At 41.6% G+C, this 22,364-nt stretch overlaps 2 annotated features.

Annotated features, from left to right (window-relative positions):
- Window positions 3,150-4,008: an enhancer, noted in NCBI's record as "OCT4-NANOG-H3K27ac hESC enhancer chr4:109634746-109635604 (GRCh37/hg19 assembly coordinates)". NCBI's record gives its function as "activates a minimal SCP1, AML or CMV promoter by ChIP-STARR-seq in naive H9 embryonic stem cells {active_cell/tissue: H9 hESC(naive)}" and the evidence as "EXISTENCE:reporter gene assay evidence [ECO:0000049][PMID:30033119]".
- Window positions 4,009-4,867: an enhancer, noted in NCBI's record as "OCT4-NANOG-H3K27ac hESC enhancer chr4:109635605-109636463 (GRCh37/hg19 assembly coordinates)". NCBI's record gives its function as "activates a minimal SCP1, AML or CMV promoter by ChIP-STARR-seq in naive H9 embryonic stem cells {active_cell/tissue: H9 hESC(naive)}" and the evidence as "EXISTENCE:reporter gene assay evidence [ECO:0000049][PMID:30033119]".

The following is a 22,364-nucleotide window of genomic DNA, read 5'->3' on the forward strand; positions in this document are numbered from 1 at the left end:
CAGAAAACGGCACTTTCAATTTTTCCATCCTACAAGATCTAAATAATTCTTGTCGTAAAATGGGCAAATGGTCTGAGGTGCCTGACGTCCAGGCATTCTTTCACACATCGGTCCCTCTCTAGTCTCTGTTCCCAATGCAACTCATCCCAAATCTTCCTTCTTTCCCTCCCACCTGTCCCCTCAGTCCCAACCCCAAGCGTCGCTGAGTCTTTCTAATCTTCCTTTTCTACAGACCAATCTGACCTCTCCCCTCCTCCCCAGGCTGCTCCTCGCCAGGCCGAGCCCGGTCCCAATTCTTCCTCAGCCTCCGCTCCTCCACCCTATAATCCTTTTATCACCTCCCCTCCTCACACCTGGTCCTGCTTACAGTTTCATTCCATGACTAGCCCTCCCCAACCTGCCCAGCAATTTACTCTTTAAAAGGTGGCTGGAGCTAAAGGCATAGTCAAGGTTAATGCTCCTTTTTCTTTATCCCAAATCAGATAGCGTTTAGGCTCTTTTTCATCAAATATAAAAATCCAGCCCAGTTCATGACTCCTTTGGCAGCAACTGTGAGACACTTTACAGCCCTAGACCCTAAAATGTCAAAAGGCCGTCTTATTCTCAATATACATTTTATTACTCAATCTGCTCCCGACATTAAATAAAACTCCAAAAATTAAATTCCAGCCCTCAAACCCCACAACAGGATTTAATTAACCTCGCCTTAAAGGTGTACAATAATAGAAAAAAGTTGCAATTCCTTGCCTCCACTGTGAGACAAACCCCAGCCACATCTCCAGCACACAAGAACTTCCAAACGCCTGAACTGCAGCAGCCAGGTGTTCCTCCAGAACCTCCTCCCCCAGGAGCTTGCTACAAGTGCCAGAAATCTGACCACCAGGCCAAGGAATGCCTGCAGCCCAGGATTCCTCCTAAGCCATGTCCCATCTGTGTGGGACCCCACTGGAAATCGGACTATTCAACTCACCTGGCAGCCACTCCCAGAGCCCCTGGAACTCTGGCCCAAGGCTCTCTGACTCCTTCTTGGCTTAGTGGCTGAAGACTGACACTGTCCTGTCGCCTCAGAAGCCCTGTAGACCATCACGGATGCCAAGCTTTAGGTAAATCTCACAGTGGAGGGTAAGTCCATCCCCTTCTTAATCAATACGGAGGCTACCCACTCCACATTACCTTCTTTTCAAGGGCCTGTTTCCCTTGCCTCCATAACTGTTGTGGGTGTTGACAGCCAGGCTTCTAAACCTCTTAAAACTCCCCAACTCTGGTGTCAACTTAGACAATACTCTTTTATGCACTCTTTTTTAGTTATCCCCACCTGCCCAGTTCCCTTATTAACTCAAGATATTTTAACCAAATTATCTGCTTCCCTGACTATTCCTGGACTACAGCCGCATCTCATTGCTGCCAACTTAGACAATACTCTTTTAAGCACTCCTTTTAGTTATCCCCACCTGCCCAGTTCCCTTATTAGGCTGAGACACTTTAACTAAATTATCTGCTTCCCTGACTATTCCTGGATTACAGCTACATCTCATTGCTGCCCTTCTTCACAATCCAAAGCCTCCTTTGCGTCCTCCTCTTGTATCCCCCCACCTTAACCGACAACTATAAGATACCTCTACTCCCTCCTTGGCGACCGATCATGCACCACTTACCATCTCATTAAAACCTAATCACCCTTACCCCACTCAATGCCAATATCCCATCCCACAGCATGCTTTGAAAGGATTAAAGCCTGCTATCACTCGTCTGCTACAGCATGGCCTTTTAAAGCCTGTAAACTCTCCTTACAATTCCCCCATTTTACCTGTCCTAAAACCAGACAAGCCTTACAAGTTAGTTCAGGATCCATGCCTTATCAACCAAATTGTTTTGCCTATCCACCCCATGGTGCCAAACCCATATACTCTCCTATCCTCAATACCTCCCTTCACAATCCATTATTCTGTTCTGGATCTCAAACATGCTTTCTTTACTATTCCTTTGCACCCGTCATCCCAGCCTCTCTTCGCTTTCACTTGGACTGACCCTGACACCCATCAGGCTCAGCAAATTACCTGAGCTGTACTGCCGCAAACCTTCACAGACAGCCCCCATTACTTCAGTCCAGCCTAAATTTCTTCCTTATCTGTTACCTATCTCAGCATAATTCTCATAAAAACACACGTGCTCTCCCTGCTGATCGTGTCCAATTAATCTCCCAAACCTCAATCCCTTACAAAACAACAACTCCTTTCCTTCCTAGGAATGGTTAGTGCAGTCAGAATTCTTACACAAGAGCCAGAACCACACCCTGTAGCCTTTCTGTCCAAACAACTTGACCTTACTGTTTTAGCCTAGCCATCATGTCTCCGTGCAGCAGCTGCTGCCGCCCTAATAATTTTAGAGGCCCTCAAAATCACAAACTATGCTCAACTTACTCTCTACATTTCTCATAACTTCCAAAATCTATTTTCTTCCTCATACCTGATGCATATACTTTCTGCTCCCCGGCTCCTTCAGCTGTACTCACTCTTTGTTAAGTCCCACAATTACCATTGTTCCTGGCCCGGACTTCAATCCGGCCTCCCACATTATTCCTGATACCACACCTGGCCCCTATGAATGTATCTCTCTGATCCACCTGACATTCACCCCATTTCCCCATATTGCCTTCCTTCCTGTTCCTCACCCTGATCACACTTGATTTATTGATGGCGGTTCCACCAGGCCTAATCGCCACACACCAGCAAAGGCAGGCTATGCTATAGTACAAGCCACTAGCCCGCCTCTTAGAACCTCTCATTTCCTTTCCATCGTGGAAATCTATCCTCAAGGAAATAACTTCTCAGTGTTCCATCTGCTATTCTACTACTCCTCAGGGATTATTCAGGCCCCCTCCCTTCCCTACACATCAAGCTCAAGGATTTGCCCCCGCCCAGGACTGGCAAATTAGCTTTACTCAACATGCCCCGAGTCACAAAAACTAAAATACCTCTTAGTCTAAGTAGACACTTTCACTAGATAGGTAGAGGCCTTTCCCACAGGGTCTGAGAAGGCCACCGCAGTTATTTCTTCCCTTCTGTCAGATATAATTCCTCAGTTTAGCCTTCCCACCTCTATACAGTCTGATAACAGATCAGCCTTTATTAGTCAAATCAGCCAAGCAGTTTTTCATGCTCTTAGTATTCAGTGAAACCTTTATATCCCTTACAGTCCTCAGTCTTCAGGAAAAGTAGAGCAGACTAAAGGTCTTTTAAAAACACACCTCGCCAAGCTCAGCCACACACTTAAAAAGGAATAGACAATACTTTTACCACTTTCCCTTCTCAGAAGTCAGACCTGTCCTCAGAATGCTACAAGGTACAGCCCATTTGAGCTCCTGTATAGACGTTCCTTTTTATTAGGCCCTAGTCTCATTCCAGACACCAGACCAACTTAGTCTGTGCCCCAAAAAAACTTGTCATCCCTACTATCTTCTGTCTAGTCATACTCCTATTCACTGTTCTCAACTACTCATACATGCCCTGCTCTTGTTTACACTGCCGGTTTACACTGTTTCTCCAAGCCATCACAGCTGATATCTCCTGGTGCTATCCCCAAACTGCCACTCTTAACTCTTGAAGTAAATAAATAATCTTTGCTGGCAGGACTATGCTGAATCTCCTTAAGCACTCTCTAATCAGATGTCCTGAGTCGTCCCAATTCTTAGACCTTTTATACCTGTTTTTCTCCTTCTCTTATTCCATTTAGTTTTTCAATTCATACAAAACTGTATCCAGGCCATCACCAATAATTCTAAATTACAAATGTTCCTTCTAACAACCCCACAATATCACCCCTTACCACAAAATCTTCCTTCAGCTTAATCTCTCCCACTCTAGCTTCCCACACCGCCCCTAATCCCGCTCGAAGCAGCCCTGAGAAACATCGCCCATTATCTCTCCATACCATCCCCCAAAATTTTCGCTGTCTCAACACTTTACCACTATTTCGTTTTATTTTTCTTATTAATATAAGAAGACAGGAATGTCAGGCCTCTGAGCCCAAGCTGAGCCATCATATCCCCTGTGACCTGCACGTACACATCCAGATCGCTGGTTCCTGCCTTAACTGATGACATTCCACCACAAAAGAAGTGAAAATGGCCTGTTTCTGCCTTAACTGATGACATCGTCTTGTGAAATTCCTTCTCCTGGCTCATCCTGGCTCAAAAGCTCCCCCACTGAGTACCTTGTGACCCCCACTCCTGCCCGCCAGAGAACAACCCCCCTTTTTCCTTTACCTACCCAAATCCTATAAAACGGCCCCACCCCTATCTCCCTTCGCTGACTCTCTTTTCGGACTCAGCCCACCTGCACCCAGGTGAAATAAACAGCTTTATTGCTCACACAAAGCCTGTTTGGTGGTCTCTTCACACAGACGCGCGTGAAACACCCGACAACAAATGTCTACTGTAGAATGTGTATCACTCTGTGGGAGATAAAAATATGAATCAGAGGACCTCCTGCTCTCAAGGGCCTCAAAGAGAGAAATAGTTAAGATATATTCCCTGAATATCTATACATCAATGTGCTTTCACTGCAGCATTTGCTAACTTCGAGATTGTAATCAAAGCCTCATGAAAGAGCATTGTTATGTTTTGCAGGACTCTGTGGGGCACTGCAACCCTGGATTTACAGCACTTACGTAATTAAAGCAAACAAAAATTGTAGTGAAAACGTTGGATAAGAAGAGAAAAAAGCTACAACATTCACAATGCTAATTCCTATCACCTGAGTATATTTGTTGATGGTCTGCTCATTTGTAACACGTTTCTTATTCTGCATATGGGAAAATAAAATCAAATGTTAAATTTTTCCTTCCTAGAGCTCCCTAATTCTAAGCTATTCCCTTGTATTTTGTGGCTTCATTTGACTTGTCACTTGGAAGCTACCACTGTGACAGGCTGAATAATGGTCCTGGGAGATGTTCTCATTAGAATCCCTGGAACTGTGAATGTTGCCTTATATTGCAAAGAGATTTTGCAGATGTGACCAAGTTAAGGATCTCAAGATGGGGAGATTACTCTGGATTATCCAGCTGGATCTAGTGTAATCACAAGAATCCTCGTAAAAGGGAGGGCTGTCATTGTGCTGTTTACCTCTGTTCTCCTGGTAGAAGCCAACACTGCTAGGCAGGAACATGGGAAAAATCCAAAAAGGAACTGCCGAAGGCATGGATGATCATGCCTTTGTCACCTCATCTTGTCTTCAGGTCTCTTGTGAACCATACCATCTCTCCTTTCCTCCTCTAGTTTAGTGTAGATGGGCTTTAAAATGGTTCCTCAGGGTTGACATTTACTAAACATGTCTACACTGCAGTCACAGGCTGGGGTTAGAGAGTCGGGGTATTGGATACTGTCAGCTTGAACGTAACCCTTGTACTTAGGGGCACAAATACAGCAAGAGCAAGCCCAGCTTGGTAATATTTTTAGAAAGATATACAAAAATTCTAAATCATGGGGAGTTTGTTAAAATTAACATTTAACCTTTCATTAATGACCTTAAAGTACTTTTTAAAAAGACATAAAAATGAGAGAAAATAAGGTGCTTTGGCCTGTCAGCTTGTAGACCCAGGACTTTGTCTATTGCCATTTTATTCTGACCCTTTTGTTCTTTAGTCTGAGGCACAAACGTGGTCCTCGCTACCACCCTTTCTTTGTCCCCACCTCCATGAAGACCTAGCAAATAATAGAAAGAGCCCGAGAGAGCAGGAAAGATTGAGAAAGAACAGGGAGGATAAAAATTAAGATCAGACAATCAAAAAGGAATAATAATTAAATCAAAGTTTCGAAATTGTCATGATGTAGTCCCAAATTATACAACCATGGATGTAGGTGCAAATCCAGGTTGTGTGGGTCCTAAAACTTATGCAGTCTCTGGCCCTCTTGAAGAAAAATACAAACGTCTGATCTGCTAATGTTATATAAACAAATGACCAAGTGAACCTATTGGCAGTGAACCATTTAAGGCCTTGGAAAGGGTCTGTGCAAGAGGGCCCCTGAAGCTTAAGCTTCATTTTACAGTAGATGCTCCTTTGCAGGGCCAAGGATCAGACTGCAGATGGCACTTGTGACACAGGTGCACATACCCTTCCATTTTCGTTGTCTGGTCCCAGGGCAGAAGCCTGATGCCTCCTGTTAGTGATAGCATTAGTGATGCTTGTTGGAGCATAAATTGGCTGTTGAGGACTCTGCAAAGGCTGGTGTCCTGGAAAAGTTGAAGGGATTTGGTTGGGTCTCAGGACTTGATCTAAGCAGGGTGGCTGTGCCAACAGCATCAGTCTCACTCAAAGATGAGGGCTCAGTTTCCTCAAAAATATAGCTTTTGGCTGGGCACAGTGGCTCACGCCTATAATCCCAGCACATTGGGAGACTGAGGTAGGTGGTTCACTTGAGGTCAGGGGTTTGAGACCAGCCTGGCCAACATGGTGAAACCCCGTCTCTACTAAAAATACAAAAATTATCTGGGTGTGGTGGAACACACTTGTAATCCCAGCTACTTGGGAGCCTGAGGCAGGAGAATCACTTGAACTTGGGTGGTGGACGTTGCAGTGAGCTGAGATCGTGCCATTGCACTCCAGTCTGGGTGACAGAGCGAGACCCTCTCTCTATACGTATACATATACATATACATATACATATACATATACATATACATATACATATACATATACATACACATATACATACACATATACATGTATATAAATATATGTATGTATTTCATTCTTTTCAAAATTCTGTTTGTATGTTTAGACAGGGCCCTCAGAAAACTTTCAGTGGGCCTCACTTCATCAAACACTGTTGATGTCCAGTCTCTTGGACTACTGAGTTCACCAGGATGGCATCTGTGGGCTTTGGGAATTTGCTTCAATGCAAGCAGATGCAACCCAGAACAGTGCGGGCATTAACATCACTGGGGCAACCCTCAACCAATGGGGGAGTAAGTGAGTGGAAAAATGCTCCTCCACATTTCCCCTCCTGCAGTGGGACAATGCTAAAATGTGTCCCTCAAAACTTGTTAGACAGCCCTGTTCACCCAGGGTGGTGATTCACCCAGGGTGGGATGGGTGACTGCTTTTCTCCCATCCCAGTCAGTTCCCCACTTCCTCATTTCTGCTTCCTGGGATTATCTCCAGTGCAAGCTATCTGCTTCCACGTCTTTGTCTTAGGGTCTGCTTTTGGAAAAACCCAAAGGAAGGCATTACTTCAAACTACATGGCTACTCATTAGGGAAAGTTGAGACTTCCTTTACTTAATTATGGGGATGGAGATAAGAACATTTTTCTACCTTTTATTTTGAAATCTCGCTACCAGTCCTAATAATCTGGTAACTTAGAGGATACTCTGCTTCTCTTTCCTTCAACTGGCAGCAACTTCCTCTTTAGGGGCCATGTCCATCTGCACTCCCAAATTATAACACCCAGAATCAAGCCGGATCAGATACTACACTAATGCGGGACTATCTAATGCAAACATGACATTAAAAAAAAGAGACTGTTTTATATCAGTCTTGGACTTTACTTGCAAGGCTTTCAAAAAGTCACATGGAAACAATTGCAATGAAAGGATTTTATGCATTTTTTGGTGCAAAGTTTATTTATTCAGATTGTCTTTATAGTTGGATCTCATCATGTTAGAGGATTTTGCAGAAACCCTTCAGTTTCATTTTCAAAGCTATAGATGTCTTATTTGTATAATTATTACTTTTTGGTGGAGACAAAGTGACCCAGTTTGAGAGTTCAGTTAGAATTTTGTATTCTTCACGGATTTTCCTATTGAATACACAAATTAATTCTTTTGTTTGACGATTTCCAAAGCAGTTCTTGGCAACAATAACTTTTCACATTTTCATGTAAAACCAAACCTTATGTAAATAACCAACTGCAGAATCTTTGGGCTTCATTCTAATCCATCAGAGTCAACTTGACTTTTCTGAGTTTTATTTTTAAAACTTTAAGTATCAGAGAAAATTCATTATCTTGACTCTCTTTTAAAATCAGACTAATCAGGGCCTCATTTGTTAGGATAAAGAGGATTAAATTAAACTCAAGTTGTCAGGCATCTGATTATGGACTTCAAGAGCTGGGAAGAGGCCAGGCACAGGTGGCTCACACCTGTAATTCCAGCACTTTGGGAGGCTGAGGTGGGCAGATCACCTGAGGTCAGGAGTTCAAGACCAGCCTGGCCAACATGGTAAAACCCCATCTCTACTAAAAATACAAAAATTAGCTGGGTGTGGCAGTACCTGCCTATAATCCCAGCTACCTGGGAGGCTGAGGCAGGAGAATTGCCAGAACCCAGGAGGCAGAGGCTGCAGTGAGCCAAGATTGGGCCACTGCACTCCAGCCTGGGTGACAGAGTGAGACTCCATCTCAAAAAAAAAAAAAAAATTAGCCGGGTATGGTGGTGGGCTTCTGTAAGTCCAGCTACTCAAGAGGCTGAGGCTGGAGAATCACCTGAAACCAGGAGGCGGAGGTTGCAGTGAGCCAAGATCACGCCACTGCATTCCAGCTTGGGAGACAGAGTAAGACAGAGTAAGACTCCATCTCAGAAAAAAAAAAAAAAAAAAAGAGCTGGGGAAGACACTGATTTCCCTGAAAGCCAGAACTTCAACTCTTGAGTCACAAGCGATGACACTGAGGAGTAGTAATCTAGAGTCTCATCCTGACATCCTTTGACCTGAACAGGGCATAAGAAAACACCCAGCTCTTGTGTTGCCCACAGAAACAGTTGACCCTCACATTTCCCCATTAAGACTTGACAACAGGAGAATCTCTCAGTGCTTCTGTAGAAGTTGAGATTCTTTATTCCTACGCATGTCTAAGTCTGGAGCTCTGATCCTGAAATACGCTCTATGAGAATGCTATGGGTATGAGTATGCTATGGACTGAATTGTGTCTCCCAAAATTTATATGTTGTGCCCTAACCCCTAATGTAATGGTATTTGGGGACAAGGGCTTTCAAAGATAATTGGGTCTAAATGAAATCATGAAGGTAGGGCCCTCGTGATGAGATCAGCGCTCTTAGAAGAAGAGACACCAGAGAGCTTGCTGTATCTCTCTGCCATGTGAAGACAGGGTGAGAAGGCAGTCAGGAAGAGAGCCCTCAGCAGAACTTGACCATTTTGGCACCCCAATCTTGGACTTCCAGCCTCCAGAACTGTGAGAAAATAAACTTTGGCTGGTGAAGTCTCCCAGCCTGTGGTATTTTGTTGCGGCAGCCTGAGCTGACTAACACAGTATATAAACTCTACAAGCACCATTCGGGTAAATGGAAGACTCAAATATTCTCCTTGCCTCTCCCTTGGAGCTGTTTAATTTAACCTATAATTCTTCTCATAACTGTATTTCCTAGAATCACACATTGACTGTAGACCGGAAAGAAGGAGGTTTGGTTGCATCCTGACTTTTCATATATATATAGTCAAATATGAAATATACTGTTATCTATCTGTACACCTAAGAAGGGCAGATTTACTGTGCATAATTTTATACTTTAATAAATCTGAACTTAAAAAAGATCAGTGCTTGGGAAAATGGTTTCTATGAAGAAAGCCTTTAGCCAAAGATGAGAGATTGGGGGTTGGGGGTAGAAAACCTGAAATAACTGGGTTTAGTTAATTTAGAAAAAACAAATTAAGCAGTGGTTTAATAATATCTGAAATCCAAATGTCAGTTTTTCCTCTCCACCTTGAGGGTCACTTTGCAACATTCTATTTGAAGAAAAAAAAAAAACAGATTTAACTATGAGTAGCTGACTTGGTTGCACTACAGTGTACAGTGAGCTTTGACATATCATTCCAGAAGGCCCACGCTGGGTGGATGTTGGTCTGCCCAAGTTCAATCCTTTTCACAGACTCCCTGCCTGAGTGAGTTTGCAGAAATACTTGTTTATTTTTCTAAGTGTCCAGGAGGTACGTGTTGGAAAAGAAATATACACACATACATATAATGCACACACACTCATTCCTATCTCCAAAGGACTAATATAAATCCTTAAAAGAAACAGACTAAACTGATAAAAAGAGAATCATTTTCCTAATGAACTCATAACTTATAAGGTTTACTCTGCCCACAATAAAATTGGGTGATAGTTGGAACTCTTAATTGTTCCATTACTGAGTCACTACCCCAATGGGAGCTTTCTAGTTTCAAACACCTCTCTTGCTTCAAGTCTTTAGCCCAGTATTTCTCAAAATATGTCCTCAAATTGCCGCTGTCAGAATTATCTGGAATGATTGTTCAAAATCCAGATACTTGAAAATGAATTTCTAAGGGTGGGCCTCAGAAATCTGCATATGAAAAAAGTCCCCTGGTAATTCATTTAGCACCAAAAGTTGAGAACACTTCTTTTAACTGCTATGATGAAAATTTTTCTCTTGCTCCTGGATATAAAACAAGAGCAAACTCTTTCTGCCACATTCTTAGTTTGGAGGTTGGGTAGTCTTAAAAATGGGTCGGAATATTGGGTAGTTCATGTGTTCTACAGATTTTTAATGAAGGTTGATACTCAACATTTTGAAATGGCATGAAGGGGCAAAGAACTAAGAGAGGTGAAGAAATAGAAACCCAACCAACCTACTATGCATAAAGTACTGGTCTAAGTGTTAAACGATTTGTGTTTCAAGTTCCCCAATGTTAGTGATTTCTTCCTTTCATCTAGCTTTCCATCTTTTCTTCCAATTTTCTTCCATTAAAAAAATTTATTTGTATATGTGCACAGAATTGAATTCATCAAAATTGTTGGTCATATTATATCCTCATCATTGGTTCATGCATGGTCTTTTTTTAATTCATTATTTAATTAGATATTTTAACTAATGCAATAAATACCTGAGAAAGCAACACCTAAATCAAATGCTAGTACCTTGACAATAACTATAAGCAGAACACCAAAACCACTCTGTTCTTCTGGAAACCATAGTCAAGGGAACTCAGGACCTGACAAGCCAGCAGAAGGTTAAGAAGTTCTTACCAGCCAGGCTCCTGGCCTCTCTTTCTGTGGAATCTGGTCAAGCAGATGGTAAAATCACCATTTGTCCCCTTTTCCTCTCCAAAATCTTGATTCATGAGAGAAAAGGACTTATGTGACTAGTCTTGGGGGTATAAACTCTGGTGTACTTTTGGTATGAGTATTCACAATTGTCTAATCATTTTCCTCCCAGAAGTAGACTTTCCCTTTGTCTTTGTTTTTCTGTGTTTTTCTATCATAAAGAGGGGTACCACAGGGTAGAACATGGGCCCAAAACTTCTGAAAGCCCGTTGTTTGAACTGGTCCTGCCAATTGGTCAGTTTTTTGGTTCTGATGAGACAAATGTCTATTTAGACAAACTTTGCTGTAGGTGCCTGAAGTAAAAACTGGATGAGGTTCCCCTCTCATCTTGTTTGACATCCTTGACAGCTTAACTTGTGACTGAGTGGGAGCACTTTCTCTTGGTCTCTGCCATCCAGGGGATGTGATTTTCAGCTCATGTCTGGTAGCCAGTCAGAAAATGGCTGGGAACCCGAGACAAAAGATTTTAAGCAGCACACTCTGTTCCAAACATGTCAAGCTCTCAGGGGAGTTTGTTTTAAGGGGTCCCATCCATAGAGACTTTTTTCATCTTAACAGTCTTTGGCTGGTTAGTCCTGGAAAAGTCCAATACCAGGAGGGGCTACCTGGCATCACAGACCCAGGGGTTTGTGACTAGTGACTGCCCCCACCTCCCAAATCTGTGGGATACCAGGACAACATAAGCACAAACGCCACCCTTAACCATCTGTGGCAACAAGAGTTTTTTGCTATCTTAGCCTATTCCTGGAATGAATTTTTGGGGATTATGGGGACTGACTCTTCTATGTCCTCTCCATATAACGCCCTTTGCTTATATGGTAAAAACTTACTCTAAACCTGGAAAATTACCTCCTGGGCTTTCTATCAAGTAGCTTATTGGATTGAGCTGCTATTGGAGTAAGTACACCATTGGAAAGTATTTGTGTGACTCTTGACTTTTTGGAATAACCATTTGTTACTGACCCTTTTCCCTTCCATGAAGAGCTTTCGATTTCCTGTCTTCTTCTATCTATGGGCACACTGGGCTTTTAAGTCTTTGCGTGTAGATGGTTAGCTGAGAAGCTGAGACCCTACAGAATGTGGCTGAAAGAATTGTAAGTTATACTTCATTTGCAACTAGCAAAGCTTTTTTTGTTGTTGTTGTCTTTGGGGGTGGTTTTGGGTCTTGGGAGGATTACTTTGAACCACTTGGGAGGTCTCATGCATCCTTATTTAAGCCATAAACTTGGTGAAGGCTTACTGGTTTCGGTGAGTGACTTGGGAAGGTACTTTTGTTTTAACAAAACAAAGCTCAAGCTAGGATGGCTGTTTTTCCTGGCTGAAATCTGACAAGAGATTTGAAAAAATATGTATATATTTCTTAAGAGCTTTATAGTCAAAAGTCAGCTTAACTAAAAGCTGATATTCAGGCTTTTTTTTTTTAATCTTTCTGCATTCTCGTTTGGATCCTGTTTCTGGGAATGTTTTTCAATTGACTGAAAGCTCTTTTAATATGTTTGGTGTCTGTTTTCTCTCTTTCTTTTTAGCATGATTTTTGCCTAGAAAAATGTAAAGCTTTATTGGCCTTTTACAAAGCTTAAAATCTCCACAGATTGTTTCCTCTAAGGCTTATTCTTCCATTTCCTTCCACTTCTTCTCCTCCTTCCTTTTGCCGTCTTTGATAGCACATGAAGAAACCTAGAAGAAATTTCTAGCAGCCTTGAGACCCCTTGAAGAACACAAAAAAGGCACTATACACCCCCTTTTTGGAGTCTTTTTTCTTTATTTTTTTAAAATTGAAGACAGGTTTTTGTCTTGTTGCCCAGGCTGGTCTTAAACTCCTATGCTCAAATGAACTGCCCACCTTGGCCTCTCAAAGTGTGGGGATTACAGGTGTGAACCACCACACCTGGACTATATTCATAAATTATTGGTACATGACTGATAATTAAAAACTGCTTACTTCATAGGTTGTCACTGTGAATTAAAGTTACTCAGGTTTAAAATTGTAGGTAATATGTATAATTAAAACTACTAGATATAAGAAAAATAATTCTATATACAAATATTATAATATATAATTCTAATTAAAAATAATTCTATATGCAAATATTAAAGTCTTGTGTCTTCAAGGAGGTTAAGGGAAAGGATAAAAAGACTCTGCTAGGTAATCTGAAATACAGACCTTTGCTTATGACCTTGACATCAAGGAAAGTAGGATGTGTTTTGGAAAGGAAGGTTATGAGAAAATCATGAAAATGTAGTTTTGTTAAATAAAAAGTAATTTTGTCTAGTTTAAAGGTTGTTTACAAGGTGTTTTAAATTCGAGGAATAAAGTAAGAATAATAGATAAAACTGAATGAATATAGAAAGTTGGGGAAAGAAATAGAATGGGAAAAATTGTGAGAGGTTATAAAAGATTTATGAAAATCTTATCTTTGTGGTTAAACATGATTGAGATTAGACAGATCTGCTTATAAGGTTTTATTAAAATTATGTTTAATATTAATAATACACTGATTGATAGAAGGGTAGAGTTTGGTTTTCTCTTTTAAACAAGATTTTCATTTGCTATTAATAAGAGATAGTAAAAGATTTTTGTTTGCCTTTTGAGTAAACTTCGTAAAAAGAAAGAGACGAAGAGACAGACTTTGTTAGTCTCATGCTGTCTGTATCAGGTGTTTTGATTGTTTGAAAAATAGTGTCTCCTCTCTATCAAAGAGTAAAATTTTTGCTTTTTGAAATCTTTAAATTATCATTTTGGCTAAATTAGTGACTATTATTTTATAGTGACCTATGATCCTCATGACCTATGATTAAGTGTCTTCAATCTTTCATATTTTGATAACAAAATAAACCTTAGGTATTCAACAAACTTCCCAAATCAAAGTTTCATGTTCTAAATTAAGCCTTTTTTTTTTTTTTACCTTGAACTGGTTTTGGACATTCAAAAAGGGCCCCTGGATATCTAAGACAGACATATTAGGCTTATTTGTTATGTTAAAATCACATAGGAAGCATTGTCAAATAAGAAATGATATTTAACTCTGAGTTACATTTGTATGGATGTGTTATTAATATGTGTTTCAAAATTATATGAGAATCTTAAAAATCTGATATGTCTTGGTATATGTGGTAAATTGCTTTATTCTGATCTTTTTCTAAAAGCTCTTTGGAAATATTAAAGCCTTGTGTCTTCAAGGAGGTTAAGGGAAAGGATAAAAAGACTCTGCTAGATAATCTGAAATACAGACCTTTGCTTATGACCTTGAGATCATACAATTGAACTGGGTAGGAATTTCAATAACACCATTGGGGAAAAACTGGACTCATAAAACTGCTAACTTAATATCAGACAGAATAACAATTAATTACATAGGACTGAACTGATGGAGGACTGAAATAATTTTTTTGTTTAAAACATTACTGATTCTTTTTGTTTTGTTTTCCAGAGTTAATAACACTTTTTTAAAAAGCTATTTATAGTTTTCAGCACTTGAGTAAAGTATACTTTCTTTTTTTTCACTCAAGACTTGTTCTGTCGCCCAGGCAGGAGTGCAGTAGCATGATCTCAGCTCACTGCAGCCTCCACCTCCTGGGTTCAATCAATTCTCCTGCCTCAGCCTCCCAAATAGCTGGGACTATGGGACTACAGGTGTGCGCCACCATGCCTGGATAGTTTTTTTTTTTTTGTATTTTTAGTAGAGATGGGGTTTCACCATGTTGTTCAGGCTGGTCTTGAATTCCTGACATCGTGATCCACCCACCTTGGCCTCCCAAAGTGCTGGGATTACAGGTGTGAGCCACTGCACCCAGCCATGCCTTCCTATAATCTTTTACCAAAACACATTCTACTTTCCTTACACACCTTGCATGTAAAACTGTTTTTCCAGTAGTCTCGAGTACATGTTACACTGCTAACCCTTACCAACTTTTACTTTTGGTAAGTAAGTAATTCTAATTATGTACTAGGTGTGGAGCCTAGGACACCAGACAGAAGTGCAGATAATGTTTGAGTCTTCTCAGCATAGCTAGGGGACATGGCTAACTCTGTGTGTCCTCTGGCCTTACCTAGCTTTAAAGAAGGCGAATTGTACAGTTAAGAGTCATAGTAGCAGTTTATGAAGCATTTAGTAGGCCTAATAACCTTTAAACTATACAACATTTATTTCATAAATTTTTCAGACTTACACAGACCATCTATGACATGCCTGGACTTTCTGACTTGTAGTAAACATCCCTCTTTTTTTAACAACTATTTTACTTTAGGACAATAATTTATCATACAAGGTCTTTTGTTTATATACAAAATCTCTTTTCTCTATAACATTCCTTACCAAAAATACCTCTTTACCTTTATAACCTTTAAGTTAGACAAAAGTCATTTTCCTTCTGTTAGAAAGTTAAGGTTTGTACTGCACGTTGCTGTGTGAGTCCTGTGAAGAGGGAGCAGATAAGGAGGTTATCTGCAACTGAAGAAGTTATTCCCCTTCAAGAAATTGTTTGGGGCCGGGCACGGTGGCTCATGCCTGTAATCCCAGCACTTTGGGAGCCTGAGGCGGGCGGATCACAAGGTCAGGAGATCAAGACCATCCTGGCTAACACAGTGAAACCCCGTCTCTACTAAAAATACAAAAAAAAATTAGCCGGGCGTGGTGGCGGGCGCCTGTAGTCCCAGCTGGAGGCTGAGGCAGGAGAATGGCGTGAACCCAGAAGGCAGAGCTTGCAGTGAGCCGAGATCGCGCCACTGCACTCCAACCTGGGCGACAGAGCGAGACTCCGTCTCAAAAAAAAAAAAAAAAAAGAAATTGTTTGGTTAGATTTTTGCTAGAGCTTGTCTGAATAAGTGTGGGCCACTTCTAAACTCCTGAGGTAGGACTGTCCAGGTTGAAGTTATTGGTTAAAGATTTAGGTAACTTTCCTAGGAGAAATAGGGCTATAGGGAAACATGAATTTAGAGGTTGATTAAATATTAAGCAAGCAAGCACCTATCTTGAAAAGTATATTTTTGTCAAAAGCCATGTGAATATTTTCTTCTGGAGGGAGGAGGTGCCATTTGTCCCTACTACCTGACAGGATTTGGAAGAGAGTTGCTCAGATAATAAGATGAGCACAGAGTAGGCAGCTCTTGAAACCTAAAGGGAAATATATAATTTTACTTACTTTATTGTTATAAATAGTTCTAGTTTTGCTTTTACCTTAGCTAGTTTTTATGACAAGGTCAAACTTTTCCAAGGAATTTAATCCTCTTCACTTCATGTCTCTTGGAGCATCTTATACATCTCTTTCCTGTTATTTAAACATTTCATCTAATACTGTCTTCAAAGTGGATTTTTGTATGCACAAACCAGCTAAAGTTTGTGTATGCCTGAGAAAATGTTTATGATGCCTTCATATTTGAATGTTAGTTTGGCTTGGTATAAAATTGTAACTGCATTTCTTTCAAAATTTGAAAATATTATCTCATGTGTCTTGCTTATCATATTGCTGTTGAAAAAACTTGGTGTTACTCGAATTTTAATTTTGGTTGGTGATCTATTTTTCTGTACAGTGTATTTTAGAATTTTCTCTTCTTATTCTAGGAGTGGATTTTTATCTTGTTCCCTATGTTTAGTCCTCTATGAAGCCTTTCATTCTGAGGTCTTTTATTGTTTTCCCCCCTTTATTTTTGAAAATTTATCTCCTTTATTTTTTTAAACATTTTTATCATCATTATTATTATTTTCTGTATTTTTTTTTTCAGACAGAGTCTCGCTCTGTTGCCCAGACTGGAGTGCAGTGGTGTGATCTCAGCTCACTGCAACCTCTGCTTCCGGGGTTCAAACAATTGTCCTGCCTCAGCCTCCCAAGTAATGGGGATTACAGGCTTGTGACACCACACCTGGCTAATTTTTGTATTTTAGTAGAGATGAAGTTTCACCTTATTGGCCAGGCTGGTCTCAAACTCCTGACCTCAGGTGATTCACCCACCTCGGCCCCTCAAAGAGCTGGGATTACAGGTGTGAGCCACCATGCCTGGACTTAAATATTATTTTAATTTCTTTTTAGGACTTCCATTATCTGGCATACATCTTTGTCTTATCATTTATCCTTGTTTATATATTAGTTGTTCTCAAAGCATGGTCTTCAGATTAGCAGCACTGGTACCACTTGTGAGCTTATTAGAAATGAAAACTCATGTCCCTTCCCACACCTAATGAATTAGAATCTCTGGGACTGAGGGTCAAGAAACTGGTTATCAATCTCTCCAGGTGATTCTTATATATAAGTTAAGATTTAAGGCTGGGCGTGGTGGCTCATGCCTGTAATTCCAGCACTTTGGGAGGCCGAGGTGGGCAGATCACGAGGTCAGGAGATCGAGACCATCCTGACTAACACGGTGAAACCCTGTCTCTACTAAAAACACACAAAAAATTAGCTGGGCATGGTGGCAGGTGCCTGTACTCCCAGCTACCCGGGAGGCTGAGGCAGGAGAATGGCGTGAACTTGGGAGGCAGAGCTTGCAGTGAGCTGAGATCACGCCACTGAACTCCAGCCTGGGCGACAGAGCGAGGCTCCATCTCAAAAAGAAAAAAAAAGATTTAAGAACAGGACCCAGCCAGGCCCCGTGGCTCACACCTGCCATCCCAGCACTTTGAGAGGCTGAGGTGGGTGGATCACATGAGGTCAGGAGTTCGAGACCAGCCTGGCCGACATGGTGAAACCCCATCCCTACTAAAAATACAAAAGTTAGCTGGATGTGGTGGCAGGTGCCTGTAATCCCAGCTACTCGGGAGGCTGAGACAGGAGAATCACTTGAATCTGGGAGATGGAGGTTGCAGTGAGCAGAGATCGTGACTCTGCACTCCAGCCTAGGTGACAGAGCGAGACTCTGTCTCAAAAAAAAAAAAAAAAAAAAAAAAGAACAGGGTCAGGTGGCTCACGCCTGTAATCCTAGCACTTTGGGAGGGTGAGGCTGGTGGATCACTTGAGGTTAGGAGTTTGAGACCAGCCTGAAGAACATGGTGAAACCCCGTCTCTACTAAAAATACAAAAATTAGCTGGGTGCAGTGGCATATGCCTATAATCCCAACTACTTGGGAGGCTGAGGCACAAGAATCACTTGAACTCGGGAGATGGATGTTGCAGTGAGCCGAGATCACTTGTACTCCAGCCTGGGCGACAGAGGAAGGTTCTGTCTCAAAAAAAATAATAATAATAAATTTAAGAACAATTGTTTTATTTTTGTATTTTCTTCTTTGCTATGGGAGGGTTTCTCAGTCTTCTAATTTGCTGACTTTTCCCCCTCAGTTGCATATATTCTTTCAATTATCCCAACTATGTGTCCCATTCTTCTTTAATTTAACCTTAAATTGGGTTCAGTAGACCAGCAGCCTCACTATCACCTGGGAACTTGTTAGAAATGCAAAATCCTAAACCGGGTGTAGTGGCTAATGCCTGTAATTCTAGCGCTTTGGGAGGCCGAGGCGGGTGGATCACTTGAGGTCAAGAGTTCGAGACCAGCCTGGCCAACACGGCAAAACCCTGTCTCTACTAAAAATATAAAAAAATTAGGTGGGTGAGGTGGTGGTATGCACCTGTAACCCCAGCTACTCGGGAGGTTGAGGGAGAAGAATCGCTTGAACCCGGGAGGTGGAGGTTGCAGTGAGCTGAGATCACGCCATTGTACTCCAGCCTGGGTGACAGAATGAGACTCTGTCTCAAAAAAAAAAAAAAAAAAGAAAGAAAGAAATGCACAATCCCAGGTTCTCATGTGACACCTACTGAATCAGAAACTCTAAAGGCAAGGCCCACCTATTTATTTTAACAAGTCTTCTATGGATTCTTCTGATCCATGCTTAATTTTCAGAACTATTGCCAGGTGAGGTGGCTCACTCCTGTAATCCCAGCACTTTGGGAGGCCAAGGCGGGTGGATCACCTGAGGTCAGGAGTTCGAGACCAGCCTGACCACCATAGTGAAACCCCGTCTCTACTAAAAACACAAAACTTAGCTGGGCGTGGTGGAGCATGCCTGTAATCCCAGCTATTCGGGAGGCTGAGGTACAAGAATCGCTTGAACCCAGGAGGCAGTGGTTGCAGTGAGCTGAGATCGCACCATTGTACTCCAGACTGGGAAACAAGAACGAAACTACATCTCAAAAAAAAAAAAAATTTCAGAACTATTGCTCTTGTATTTTTTAATGAAAATATTCCTGGTTTTTTAATGTCTTCTTGTCCTTGCTTCAAGTCATATCTTCCCTTAGTTCTGTTAATATGTTTATTAAGCTAATTTAAAACTCTTGATTTATTTTTTTCTAATAATTTGGCCAATTTTGCTACTTGTAATCTTTTGTGTTTGTTTCCATTTTTGAAATGCTTGTGCTTCTCAAATGTCTTGCTTTTTTAGCCTGTGACTGTGCTCACCCTGTGGGTTATTGGTTACTGGGTGGGGCAATGCATATGGAGGAAGGCCAGAATCCCCAAGCTCAGGCACCAGGGTGCAGCAGGTGGAAAACACTGGGCTTCAGAAATCTAGTCAAGCACACCCCACCTCACACAGCCACTATTCCAGGCTTTACACCTAGGAGAAGAGGCTTAGGACAGAGAGACCCAGTTTAGATCGCCATTCTTGGCCAGAAGGCTTGGAGCAGGAGGGGTGGGAAAGCAACAACCTGAGGTCAGTTAGTCCTTACACACATTCCTCCCACAGACGTTACACTACAATATTACTCCTGAGAGCACCTGGACCTGAGTTCTGAAGACACTGTATCCCAAGGCAATGGCAGGGATGGAACCAGGGCAGAAGCCAGCAATTGCTCCTCCTGTTCTCTCTTAACACCAAGCTGGGCTGCCTCTTTCCCAGATGCACCCTTCCCCAACTTTCAGACACCAAGTTTAAAACACCCCCACCCAAGGATGTCAGACAGTATCCTCTGTTTTCCCTTGGTAGTTTCTGCTACCTTAATCTTCGGGGCAGAAACCAGGAGTTGTTCAGTATCCTGGTCAGATGTGTTGAGTTTTCAAAGTTGGTACTAAGAGCTTCCATTAGTACAGCCCTGGTTTCTAAGCACTCTCAAATGTATTATTTCATTCTCACAATCACCTATGCAGTAGCTTGCACATGTGTTATTATTCTTATTTTACAGAAGAAGAAATGGATTCCAAAAAGCAGTGACTCACTGAGGTCACACAGTAGTTGAGTGGCAGAGCTAGGAGAGAACTCTGGTCTCCTGCCTGGTTGAACAGATCTTGCTGTGACCTCTGACCTGTCAGCTAATGTGCTTGTGGTCTGAGAACAGGGACCTTGAGCCCTGCCCTGCGCCTGTGATTCTCTGGACTTGCCTCACTCATGCAGATGAAAGTTGACACTGTGGAGTGCATCTTACTGTTTCCTGCCTATGAGTAGATTTGTCTCTAATGGAAAGAGGGGTTTCTTGTTGTTCCAGGCACACTGGACCTACTGCTAGGACACCATTGATTTTTAAAAAAGGATGTTTTTAAAATGTTTTCCACATGCTCAGACACCTTAGTGTCTCAAAAAATAAGAAAATATGTTAGAGATGTCAAAACAAATAAATGATGTTTAAAGTCTCTTCTGTGCTTAAAAGAATAAACCCTTTTTCACGGATGCTGTTGGTGCCCCACCCAGATCCCTTCTGTCAGGTGGTGCACTCAGTCCCCATTTGCTGTAAGCTGCTGATGGCCCACAGCTGCCCCTTTCTCTGGAGAATGGCCTTCTGCCCAATGGGGCTGGCTTCCCAGAGATGTCTGGAAATAGCCTCATCCTTCATTTGCAGCAACGACTGCCTAATACAATAAAGGCTCGGCTCCTTGTTAAGGAAGGTTAATTGTGTGATGTAATTTTTGTTCCAAAGATCCTTCTGAGGCCAAATAAATTCTTACACATGAATTCCTGTCTTAGGCTTTGCTTCTAGAAAACCCAAACGAAGATACTCTTTAATCAACAAAGAATGTATTAATGCACTCCAGGTGCTATAGGGCAACATTGAAACTTGGTATATTTAATGTTTGACATTTACCATTTCTAATGTCCCTTGAAACTGCCTCTTTGACCCATGACTTGTAAGTGTGTTGCTTAACTTCCTAGTGTTCGTACATTTTCCTGTTATTATTCTGTTACTGAGTTTTAGATTAATTCCATTGTGGTCAGAAAATACTTTGATTAATGTATCAGAGTTCAATAGTAAAAGAAGAACCTCTAGGATATCTGTAGCTATCTATATGAGACACACACATTTATGCTTATACATATTTACATTTATAGGGATTTATGGAGAATTGACTTCATGCAATAATTGTGGTGCCATCGCTGTAAAGCAGGGCAAGCTTTGGGAAAGGGAAGATGAGTGTAAGGTGGATAGGACAACAAACTGGGATCCAAAGCATAACATGAGCCATGAGGACAGATTGAACCCCAGGTGAGTTTTTGTTGCCTCTCACCCTAGTGGTATGGGTGTTCTGCATGGGCTGGGGCCCATTGTCATGAAGCTTAACACATACCTCAGGTCCGGGAGTTGGAGGAGCTAAGGGGGAAGCCATGGGAAGTGGAGGAGTTGCAGGCTCAGTCACTGCCTCACACCATGGAGGTAAGTCAGTGACAATGTGTGAAGGCCACAGAATGGTCACTGCTTCACTTCCTCCCTCAAAATGTTACATCAGAACCTCTCTGGTGGCCCACTCTAACCACCAAAAACATGCAGGAAAAGGAATTCTTGGAAATTACAAGAATCTAGAATTTAGTCCAAGGAAGTTGACACATTACAAAGTCACCACAGTCCTTCCCACTTCAAATAAGAACCTATGCATAGCTTGTAAACCATATTAATCTCCAAATAAAAACAATAACAACTTTATATTTTCACCTAACATGATACATCTATACCACCTACAACCAAAAACACATTATTTCTTTTCCCAGAACAGGATACAGAGTTCCCACAGCCCCTTAAAAAAAAGGTGATGTTTACTTTTCTCTTGCATTCTAGGCACACTTTTCCTTACCCTAATTGTGTACTAGTAACCACAATCTCCCTTAATGATCAGGATCAATCACCCCAATGAGATAAAGTAACCACCTTATATACGTGCTGGTTCAATGTCATGAAGCGCCCTAAGTGGTCAGGTGGCAGTCTCAGCTTCTATTCTTTTCCTTTCCTTTCCTTTTCCTTTTCTCCTTCCTTCCTTCCTTTTTCTTTCTTTCTTTTTTTTTTTTTAGACAGAGTTTCACCCTTGTTGCCCAAGCTGGAGTGCAATGGCGTGATCTCAGCTCACTGCAACCTCTGCCTCCCAGGTTCAAGCGGTTCTCCT

The sequence above is a fragment of the Homo sapiens genome, chromosome 4, assembly GCF_000001405.40.
Source record: "Homo sapiens chromosome 4, GRCh38.p14 Primary Assembly".
NCBI lineage: Eukaryota > Metazoa > Chordata > Mammalia > Primates > Hominidae > Homo > Homo sapiens.